Source organism: Homo sapiens, chromosome 5 (genome assembly GCF_000001405.40).
Source record: "Homo sapiens chromosome 5, GRCh38.p14 Primary Assembly".
In the NCBI taxonomy this organism is placed as follows: Eukaryota; Metazoa; Chordata; class Mammalia; order Primates; family Hominidae; genus Homo; species Homo sapiens.
Window position 1 is genome coordinate 148,557,825 of NC_000005.10, and position 12,236 is coordinate 148,570,060.

At 37.4% G+C, this 12,236-nt stretch overlaps 1 protein-coding gene and 1 long non-coding RNA gene across 8 annotated transcripts in view; one reads left to right on the forward strand and one right to left on the reverse strand.

Annotated features, from left to right (window-relative positions):
- LOC107986462 (uncharacterized) overlaps positions 1 to 2,163 on the forward strand; it is a 107,158-nt gene extending 104,995 nt beyond the window's left edge. Inside the window, exon 4 of the long non-coding RNA XR_001742935.2 lies at positions 1,751 to 2,163. This is a non-coding gene — a long non-coding RNA (uncharacterized LOC107986462). The remainder of the gene's footprint in view (positions 1 to 1,750) is intronic.
- HTR4 (5-hydroxytryptamine receptor 4) overlaps positions 1 to 12,236 on the reverse strand; it is a 203,496-nt gene that overhangs the window by 106,793 nt on the left and 84,467 nt on the right. The gene's annotated exons all lie outside the window — the stretch shown is intronic.

The following is a 12,236-nucleotide window of genomic DNA, read 5'->3' on the forward strand; positions in this document are numbered from 1 at the left end:
CCCTGGAACTACTTCAAGATCACTCCTAAGAATGACAGGAAGCAAGGAGGCAGGGAAACTAGAGTACTTTTTCTCTTTATATTTTTATGTATCGAACTTTGCAATAAAATTATGTTAGACCAGAGGGCTCCACCATTGCACCAATGATCTCCGCAGTAAGTGTCTCCTCTCCCACCTGTTAGGAGTGTCATGTACACAAGAAATATTCTTGAAAATATACACAGCACATCCACAAAAGATCCCATACTCCCTATCTAAGTATTTTTTTCACCCTTCCTGCCCAGCCCTGCACAGTCTTTTGCAAAGGAATTACATTTAAATTAAAGAAAATAATGTTTCATTTTCTTACCAATCAACAGTTAGGAGAAGAGTACAAGGGCATTCTGACTTACAAGAGAGCCTGTCTAAAATTGAATTATTTTTTTCTAGTGAGAATTTTATTAACCTTAAATATAAGGTCCCTGTTGGTTTCTATACTGATAAGAGAATGAATATTAACCAAGAGGGCCTTAACGTTCCACTCAGCTTGATTAAACTTTAGACAGCCTTCTTCCTGACTCCAGGCTCTGAACTCCCTTTTCTTAGAGCATTTACTTTAGAAAATTTGTAATTGCAAATTCTTTCTCTAACACTTTGAGATGTAAATGAAAGATACTCACCAGTTTTACAAGCTAGGACTGCCATTCTCAAGAACTTTTCCTTTCCCTTTGAAAGGAAATCATCAAGAAATATAGTGCTCCTATCTCTCAGTCTGTAGGATCGAACAGCCTAACTTAGGTGGACACCTTGCTCCAAGTTGTAAAACCGTCCCTTGTCGTGAAGATATGAGAAAGTTTACTTATCCTTTGGGTAAGGCTAATTAGGTAGCACATTAGGTAATCCCTTCCCCCCACTCTATTTCTTAAAAACCCTCCTGTCCTTTGTTGTAGTGAAGTTGAAGTCAGATTGCATTCTGGTCTCTCTCCCTATTGCCATAGCCTTGGAAAAGAAAAAAGTCATCTTTACCTGCTTAACTTCATCCAGTGCAATTTTTGTTTTGACAGTATACATCATTTATTACAAGTACAGATGTTCCTAGACTTATGATGGGGTTACCTCCCAGTAAACCCATTGTAAGTTGAACACATTGTAAATGGAAAATGCATTTAATGCACCTAACCTATAGAACATTGTAACAGCCTAGCCTACCTTAAATGTGCTCAGAAAGCTTACATGGGCCTAGAGTTGGGCAAAGTCATCTGGCAGCAGACTACTCTGTAGAGCGTAGGTTGTTTACCTTCGTGATCACCTGACTGATTGAGAGTTGGAGCTCACTGCTGCTGCCAGGCTAGGTAAGATGGTATCATACAGCATATTGCTATCCTGGGAAAAGATCAAAATTCAATATTGGAAATACAGTTTCCACTGAATGCATATTGCTTTTACACCATGGTAAAGTAAAAAATTCTTAAGTCAAACCATCATGTCGGGGACCATCTGTAATTGTATGTGTGTGGCTTCTTCATTACCTTTATTACTGGCCATGAACAAAATCTGAGTTTAACATATAGGAGCGATAAACTCAGATAATAATCACATTGCTAATATGACTTATGTAAATTGATTTTTCAAATACTTCTTTATTTAAAATAGAAATAACAGAATCCATGAGTATGTTGTTTTTCCTTATAACAAATAACCTGAGCAATACTATGTAATTGTTTTAAAGTATATATCATTTCCTTTAAATATATGCACTCTTTCCCCCTAGGTTTCTTGAGAGACTAAACATACAAATGGACAATGGCCAGACCATGTGTAACAATAAAACTCCGATGGACAATCTCTGGCAGCCAGCCCAGAACGATCAGGACTTGTTCAATGACTGCGAGCTAGCTTCCCCCTTTTTTAACCCTCTTACCTGCTTCCAACTCAAGACTAACAACAGAATGCCAAAGACACTGCTCCCCAAAGCAATTACGTAAGATGCCTCACTGCTTGTTAGTGCACCTCCTGCTTCAATGTGCCAACAACCTCCAATCAGAAGATAGCAGAAGCCTTCTTTTCCCCGCTTATAAAGCTTTTTTACTCCCCTGCCTGTCTTTGAGACTTTGCTAAATTCCAAGGATGGTGGCTGATCCTCTTGCTTTATCATGCTCTGAATAAATTGCTTGTTTGTTCTCATCTGTGTGGTCTTCATTTGTTTCCATATTCTAGGTGTGTTCTAGATGTTACACTTATTTGAAATCCTATATTTTGACTTAAGTGGAAATCCTTTCTGAGGAAGAAAATATTTCTTATGATTTGGCTTATATTACTTTGGGTTCTTGTACTAAGTTCTCAGGTCTCCCAGTTAACGTTTTTTCTTTTCTTTTTTCTTTTTTACGGAAAGCTTTTTTTTTAAAAAAAAAAAAAAAAAAAAGAGGAGGATTAAATAAGATAGTTTGCATAGCCTTATTCCATAATATGAAGCATCAGAGCAGTGGTGCTTCAAAATCACCAGCAAACACTAGGATCATCTGGAGGGCTGGGTTAAAACACAGACTGCTGAACCCACCCACACTTTCTAACTTAGTGCATCTTGGGTGAAGACCAAAATTTTACATTTTTAGCAAGTTCCCAGGTAATGCTGATGTCGATGCTGGTCTTGGGACCATACTTTGAGGACCACTGACCTAGAACCTTACAAGGGATGCCCTTAATCTTAACCTCCATTCTGCCTTTGCAAATTATTTTCTTCTGCTTCTCACTTTGAAATGTCTTCCTTGGAAGTGGGTTGATTTTGACATTGATGTACTGAACACCTACCATATGGCAAACAATGCACCTGGAAGATTTTTCATGTTGGCGAATTCAATCTTCATAATTATCATTATCATGTGATGTAATATCATGATGCCCCCTTTTCAGAAGAGGCTGGAGCTCAGCATGGTTAAGAGACGTAATATTTTGTAACTATTAAGTGGTGAAGCTGGGATTTAAACCCACATATTTTTATTGCAAGTCCAGTATTTCTCCTACTAAATTTTAAACATGCTTACTTAGAAGTGAATATATTTCCTTTAAAAAAACACATGCTAAAATTTTGCTTTTTGTCTAGAAACTTAAGACTCAAAATACTGATGATGACAGCTTAATATGTGTTGTAAAATGTGCTGGCTATAGAAAATGGTAGGAGAAAAAAGGAATAAACCTTGTAGGATGGAAATTATATATAATGGAGTTTTTATGTAATTCTAAAATAATTTTATTTGATTTTTTTTGAAAACCCTATAGACAAGGACACGAGGGCAGGGAGGTGGTTGGTGCACAGCTGGTGAAGGTTAGGTAGTTTTGAACTGCAAACATGCAGAGTAAAATTCTTGAGGCAAAATCTTAATAGACTTTTCAAGAACCTCAAATATCACACATACTGGGCATGAAACAAACTTCAAAGCCCAAAGAGGATCTCTCTGTACAGAGTATAATGGAGTTAAAAGCTGTAAGGAATACAAAGGATTTCAGGATGAAAGACACTGTTTTCTGAGGCCATGCCTGAATGTAAAGCCAAGGCAGGATAGATAGGCAAGGTGAGATCTACATCTGGAGAGATACCCACTGCTGCACAGCATGTTAATCATTAAGGATTCAATTCTTCTTGGAAATGAAATGCCAAATAATAGTGCTAGTCAATTAGACCTCAGAGGTGGTCTCTCTTTAAGAAAACCCATTTTCCAAAAGTGGAACTGAGTCAACAGCTACAGAGATAGATTTCTTTTCTTTACAAGATCATTTTTTCTTTATATGTGCACAGTCTAGCGTCTCTGGTTTGTGTTGAAAACATTTTTTTTTTTTTTACACACACTTGTTAAGGAATACACTCACCAGGCACAGAAATGTCTTCCTTTGGGGTAAAACACATGACATGTTTTCAATATTCGGCTGATCATTTCCTCAAAATTATTCCTGTGATTATGAGAAATTCAGCACAGGGAAAAAATGTGGACCACATATGCCCTCTCCACTTTGGTAAATCATTTACCCTAAGCATAAGCACTCAAGGAAAAGTGGACTTTCCCATACTCTGATAGTAACCTGCTCTCCATTCCTTTGCAACAGATGGCCTCTGTCACTAGGCCCAATTGCCAGTGGATACAGCTCTCCATATTTTGCCAGGATCTTGGTTTGCTGTTGCCAAGTACTATGGTTTCTCTTCTTACTTCTGCCTCTGATAATGCAAAAAATCCTTTGCCCAAAGGAGAGATGAAACAGCTCAATTTTATGCTGTTGCAGGAGTAGTCAAACAATGGCCATTGGGCCGAATCCAGCCTGCTGTCTGTTTTTGTAAATAAAGTCCTAGTGGAACACAGCCACACTCAATCATTTATGTAGTTCCTCTAGCTGAGTTTACACTACAAAAGTAGAGCTGAGTAATTACGAGAGAGATTTCATGGCCCGAAGAGAAACTTTACTCCCTTTATGACCCTTTATGAAAAAGTGTCATGACCCCTGCTCTTTTGTAACCAGAGATGTTTGGTCTAAAGAAGAACATGGCATTAAGACACAAAGACCTATAAGAGCCTAAAAGGAGCCTATTTACTGGGAGTCATTCATTCCTCTGGATTCTTTCACTAAGTGGAAAGCAACACCCTTCCGGTTGACCACGCCAGAAACTGAGCATCTTGCTCATTTTTTTCTTCTCCTTTACCTAGGTCATTATCTACTCTGAGGATCTCTTAAATCCCTTCACTTCTCTCCAATCTGCTGTCAATACCCTAGGAGAGGGCTTCCTTTCATCTTCTCCTAGACTATCACAACCACTTTTATCCCACTAACTACTTTGTCTTTGTCTTCAAATTCTTAGTATATGAGACAGCTTAAATTTAACATGTTCAAAATTGAACTCCTGATTTCCCTAACCTCAAACCTGCTTCCCATATGAATACATAGCAAATCTATTTCTCCAGTTGCTCAGGTTAAAAATTTGGAAGCCACTTTTACCAGGTCTCTACCTCTTCTACCTCCAGTACATCAGCAAATCCTGATAGCTCTAACTTCATAACGTTTCCTGATCCCAACCCTTTACCAGCCATTCAATGTCATACCATTCTAGTTCCTACTACATCATGCTTCACTTGGTGACTGCAAAGTCCTCTCAACTGGCATCCCTGCTTCCATCATTTCTCACATACAATCCACTCTTCACCCACTAGACAGAATGAGCTTTGAAAAATATTGAGATTGGAACATATCACTTCCATACTCACTGCCCTTAAGATGGCTTGTCATCTCACTAGGAGTAAACCCAGAACCCTCACCATGACCTATGTAAATTTACAAAGCTGGCCACTGGCTGCTTCCATCATCTCAACTCTCACCACTCTCTCTTTCCCAGGCTGCTCCCGCTAAGGAGACTTCCTGACTTCCACACTGTTCCCAGATGGTGCCAATCATGCATCCACCTCCACCATCCACCTCTCACCTGATGCTACCACCATCTGGATCTCTCCATTCAAGTGACCAGAGAAGCTCACCCTTCACTTCATTCAGGTGTCTGCTCAGATTCATCTCTGCAGAGAGGACTTATTTAAAAAAGAACCTCCCCTCACTCTCTATTCTCTTGACTTGCATTATTGATTTTCACAGCTGTTACCTTTTACGCTCCCACACACACTAGAATAACTTGAATGTAAAATCACTGAAAGCAAGAACTTGGGCTGTTATATTCACTGAAGTATTTTCCAGCACCTTTTTGGTACTGTTTTACAGTACCTAGCACATAGTAGTGCTGTGAAAGTACAGTTGGTTCTCTGTATCTGTGGGTTCCACATCCGTAGATTCAACCAACTGTGAATCATAAATATTCTTTAAAAAATAGTGCCTGTATTGAGCATGTACAGACTTTTTCTTGTCATTATTACGTAAACAATAGATATAACAACTATTTGCATAGTATTTACCATTGCATTAGGTATTGTTAAGTAACCTTGTTGAAGTATATGAGAGGATATGCTTAAGTTAAATGCAAATACTACATCATTCTATATCAGGTACTTGAACATCCTTAGACTTTGGTACCCCAAAGAGGTCCTGGGACAAATCCCCTATGGATACCAAGGGACAAATGTATCTGTGGAATGAATGACTGACTGAATGAATGAATGAATGAGCTACTTCTTAATTAGTTATTCTGCCTTGGCAATTACTCTTTCCCAACACTCTCAACACTGAAGTCAAGATATGTTCTTCCCCCAAAAGAAATTAGCTAATTTCTCCCTCTTGTTCAAAATCTTATAATGTCTTCCCATTGCAATTTTGATACAATAGCACATCTTGACCTGGTTTAAACTGGTCCCTACTTACCTCTCTAGCTTTATTTCTGACACTGTTCCATAACCAACACTAAATGAAGTGCCCAAATTCTCACTCAGTGAGATGAGGCACGCTTGTTAAACTCCTTCCTCTCCTTCCCATTCTTTACCTGGCAAGCTCTCGCATGTCCTTCAGCACTCAGCTTAAACATCTTATTGTCTGGGAAGCCATCCTGACCTCAATATTGTCCCTGTCGTATATGCTTCCATTGTACCCTATAATTATATATCATAGCTTTTATCACCCTATATTTAATTGTTATTTAAAGATCTGTGCCTCCCAACCACACTAACTTACTGATTTTGGTATCAACAGTGCCTAGTATAACAAATATATGTTAGACAAGTAAACTGATATACAAGGTAGCCCTTGCTTGAAAGAAGTTTAAAGTAGTGATCAACACAAAGGGATTTCCCCCTTCATTCAGCTCAATAGTTCTGTTAATCCTGTCTCTAAACCACTCCCCCAGACAAGTGCATTTGGGCCACCAATCCTCGCTTTGAATTACAAGTTATAGCTGTTAACATCACATACAAACCACTAAAGAGTTAACAAGTTTCTCCAGAGAATATCAGAAGCCTTTCCCACATTGTACTCTTTAGGCTAATAATACTTTTAAGTCTATTTTCTAGTCATGTCCTGGGCACCGAAGTTGTTATAAAGATTAATAAATTTGGCCCGATGTGGTGGCTCACGCCTGTAATCCCAGCACTTTGGGAGGCCGAGGTGGGTGGATCATAAGGTCAGGAGTTCGAGACCAGCCTGGCCAGTATGGTGAAACCCTGTCTCTGCTAAAAATACAAAAATTAGCCAGGCATGGTGGCAGGCACCTATAATACCAGCTACTCGGGAGGTTGAGGCAGGAGAATCACTTGAACCCAGGAGGCAGAGGTTGCAGTAAGCCAATATCACACCACTGCACTCCAGCCTGGGCAACAGAGTGAGACTCCATCTAAAAAAAAAAAAAAAAAAGATTAATAAATCTAAATCTAAAACACTTACAATGTTGTTTGGCATGTAGTGTCTGTTATCTTAATCCTAGCTATTAATATTCATCTTTTCTGTTCATTTCAAATAGACACAAATGACATTAACACTGGTCCTGGTCTTCTAGCTCACAATGTAGCAAGAAACTAAGCCTGATCAATGACTGATCATTATGAGAGCATGTTGTAATTTCAACAGCTGGGGGCTGTTGAAACGACAACTATAAATAGCGGCCAGAGAAAAGAGATAATGAGTAAGAATACACTGGAGTTTTTCCAGACACAACTGGTAGAAAACACAATTTAATATAGCAGAGAAGAAATAAAGGTGCTGAAACTCATAGGAGTGGAGATGGGGTTTAGAAGGTGGTAAACGAATGTGAGGGGCAAGAATTTGGGAGGATTTGAGGCTGGCATAATCATAAGAGAAGCAGGGAGTATCCAGTATCTTGATGGGCATAAGGATTTTGAAAAGAAAGGCTCTGCATTCTATTCCACAACCAACATGTATACACTCACACCTACACGCCCTGCCATGCACCCAACATATAAGAGAAGATGAGGGAGTGAAGGTGATGGGAGAGGCAGGTGGAGAATAATGGTGGGGTTGCCCAAAGATAGACAGACTGAAGTTCAGATTCTCTACCTGGATTAGACCCTCTATCCACTACTTCTCCTCCTGCACCTGGTTACTAGTCATCTCTAGAGCCAAAGACAGAATCATGTAAAGGAGGCTCATTTGGAAAAGCTGGCTGTGGCATTCCAACCTGGCAAATCTAAGAACTGTATTGCAGTACTTGTCAATGCATATCCAGATGATGCTTGTGACAAATGTTAAAAAAGCCTTAAAAACATTCATGCTCCAAAAATTCCAAAAGAAATAAATCCTTATAGCTGTTCATAAAGATTTCTGTACATTATTACTCACAACCATGTTGTTCATAACTGGAGAACATGAAACATCTAAATGTCTATATTTGGGTATTGGTTACATAAACAATTTATTAATACACAGCCATTGAAATTCAGGTTTAAAATATTTAATGACAAGGGACATTTCTCCTAAATACCATCCAAAGTTAAAAGCAGGTATAAAACAGTAAAGCACAAGCTCAACCTTTGTAAAAATATGTATTTATATATGGGTCCAGATACTATAGTGAAAGATTAATTTGTGACCTTTTTTAAAAAATTACAAAAATACTAGAAGAAATGAGTGGTTACCTTCTTCCTCCATCTCAAGAAAATAACTAAGATTTGTATAACTACAAGCTTTGAAGACTCCAGTGTCAAGCTTGACAGGGAAGCAACAGAGCCTCTTGCCTTCAAGGGATCTGTGGACGTGGTGGTGACCAGGACAAAGTGAAAAGCAAAAGGTCCAGCTTAACGGAGAAAGAGGAAGAGGTCCACAAAATGTCTGAGATTGAATTTACCATTGAGACCCAGCTTGAGGAGCTCACAGAAAAGTTAACTAATTTAGAGATTAAAAGAAATTTGGCATTTCGTACATCTGAATGTTGTAGAGTAACACTGAAATGCAAATCTGGTATATGTATGTGATACACATACACATACATGCTTACATATACAAACATATATATGTACAGGTAAATGATACATACATGGTACCTAATATTTATACGTATGACATACCTGTATTTATTACATATGACTCCATATATTAATATTATCTATATCCAAAATGGTTATCTCTAGGTGATATTAATCTAAAAAAATTTGAATTATTTCTTCATTTTTTTTTTTACTTTTTCCCAGTATTTCCCATCAAATGTGTATTACATTGCTAATCCACAAAAAATTGTGTTTTTTTTCAAAATGCATTGCCTATGTCTGGTTTTGCTCATAACAGTGCCTTAATAATTATATGAAATCCGCACGTATTGTTCCTCTCACCAGTTATTAAACTTACTAATTGGCGTACTTCATTTTAAGAAGTTTTTAATTGCAAATGTAGCTATAAACTGTGGTGTGGTGCTTAATAGATGAAATTTTCTTAGTTTTTGCCCATCCACCTGAAGCTGCTACAAAGAAAGAATAACTTCAATAATTTTTTTTAAACAAAGTTCTCTCCCCTTCTGTGGATGTTTTGGAGCTTACAACTTTGTCCTGAATCTAACCACTTCTCATCAGTGGTGCCACTAATATTAGTGCAAGCCACTATTATCTCTAACTTACTTCTTACAAGTTTATTTCTTGCAATAAAATCTTGTCTTCAATTTCCTGCCCTTATAGTCTATGTGCTACACAAAATCTAGAGTTATACCTCTGAAATCAAAGGCAGACAATGTATGTTTTCCACTCAAAATTATTCAATGGCTTCCCAGCTCATGCAGAATATCCCAAGTTTCTACCGAGACTTGGTAGAATATACCAGGATATAAGGAACCTGGTACCAGCTGCCCCTTTGATCTCGATTTCCACCAGTTCTTCTCCTCCCTCTGCTCCAGGCACAAACACCTCCTCTGTATTTCTCCAATATGTCAAGTGCGCTCTGACCTGTGCGCCTGTTGTGTTTTCTTCCTAGAATATTCACTTCCAAATATCCACTAGGTTCCCTTTTTGTCTTCACTTAGGTCTCTGCTCAAAGGTGTCCCCATCAAAGAGCATTTTCCTGACTATTCTAATGAATGTAGCATACTTTGTCATTCTCAGATTCACTATGCTGCTGTATTTTTCCTGATGGTATGTATCTAACATATTGTATATTTCTTTGTTTTCTAGTGTCTATTAACTGTCTCCCACCAATAGATAAGTGCCACGAAAGCAGAGGCTTTGTCAGTTTTCTTGGCCCATAATAGGTACTTAACAGATACAAGTTAAGCACTGAATGGTGCCACTGAAGACTATGTTGGAAATACGGTTGTATCACCTACTACTACAACATGTGATTATTTATCCACTTTATCCAAAGTCCTGCCTTCAGATACTTCAATCTTCTACTGCAAATGAAATACTCTATCTTTTCCTCAAGACGTTATATATGTTACATCCAATAGAGACCATAAGTCTGTCCTCTCCAGTTCCATTATTTGTTTGTTTTGTTTTCAGAACTCAGTTGAATTGTTTCTATTTTAAAGTTTAGGGTTTTTGGCCACACTAATCCCCATTTTTTGTTCTTACATAAGCATTGCAATTTTCATTTTTTACACTGATTATTTCTAGTTTAGATTACCTTATCCCTTTAGAGAATTTTTTTAAAGTATACATAGGGTCTGATAATTAATTAACCTATAAATCAATCAACTAACGAACCAATCAATATTTATTACTTATTTACCATGCTTGGCCATGGAGCTATAGTTGACAGGGAGACAGATAAGGTCCCTGTCCTCATAGAGCAAGTGGTAATGAATTACATATTGTAGAATCACTCTTCTTTTTACAAATTGTCCATGAGCTTAACTAAAGACACACACATTTATAAGTAGCCAGGAAATTGTAACTTCAAACAATAAGATACAATTTCCACCAGTCAGACTCAAAAAACACCAAATTGCCAATCTTTTGAATTGACAAGGGTGTGCTGAAAGCATACTCTCAGGACTGGTTATGGGAGGACACATTAGTAAAGCTTTTTGGATGCTAATTTGGCAGTATGTTCGAAATTTTTGAATGCACATTTTTAACATATCTATTCTAGGGAAATGCCCCAACACTTGCTTAGGTGTCCAGAGATGCATGTAGAAGGTTGTGTGTTGCTATAGTTTTTTGTAAAACTGAACACTTGGAAATGGTACAAAACTTCACAAATCTATTAGTGATTAATTACATCATGGCACACTGATACCCTTAAAAAATACTATGCAGGTGTTAAAAAGAATGAGAAGGGATCCATATACATATAATAAAAAGTATACAGCCATGCATAAACAATGAAACCAGGGAAGTAGTTGTAGGGTCAAGACAGACAGAAGAGTTTTTTTTTTTTATCAGAAGGAGATCTGATTTTCATCAGGAATATATCTGATCAGCAGAGAGTTCAGTCATATTTGTAATATTTTATATCTTAAGCTGGGTCATGGACACACAGGTGTTCTTTTATGTTTTTTCTCAGTACCTTTTGTTATATCTAAAATAGAGCCATTAACACAGGAACAGAAAACCAAATACGGCATGTTCTCACTTATAAGTGGGAACTGAACAATGAGAACACATGGAGACAGGGAGAGGAGCAACACAGACTGGAGCCTGTTTGGGGGACGGGGAGAAGGGGAGTATCAGGAAAAATAGCCAATGCATGTGAGGCTTAATGCCTATGTGATGAGTTGATAGGTGCAGCAAACCACCATGGCACATGTTTACCTATGTAACAAATCTGCATGTCCTGTGCATGTATCCTGGAACTTAAAATAATTTTTTAAATGACTTTTTAAATTAAAAAAATCTTATTTTAAATACATTTTATTATTTTATTGTATGTATATTATATTTATCTTATTTATTATTTTATTGTACAGAAGTTGTGCTATACTTACAATAAAATAATATAATGTATCCAAAACATGAGTAGATTAAAAAATTATACATCAATATACATTATATGATATCATAGGAGTTTGAATAAAATAAAAACTGAGAAGAAGAGGGAGACAGAAATGCATATGTATGCATACATATACACATATTTAATATAAGTAGATCCAGAGGTCATGGCCATAAGAATGCACACCCAATTGTTAATCATAAATATTTTGGGCAGGGTATTGAAGATGATGGGAGACTTCTTCATTCAGAATATTACTAGAACTTTAAACTACATGAATTTGTATGCTTATGGGTTACTTGTTTAACTGAAGAATAAGGAAAGACTTTTCCCTCACCTGTGAATCCCATCTTTTGCACTCTGGCCAACACCTAAGTCTTCTCACTTTGCACTAGAAGGATAATGTACTGCTCTTG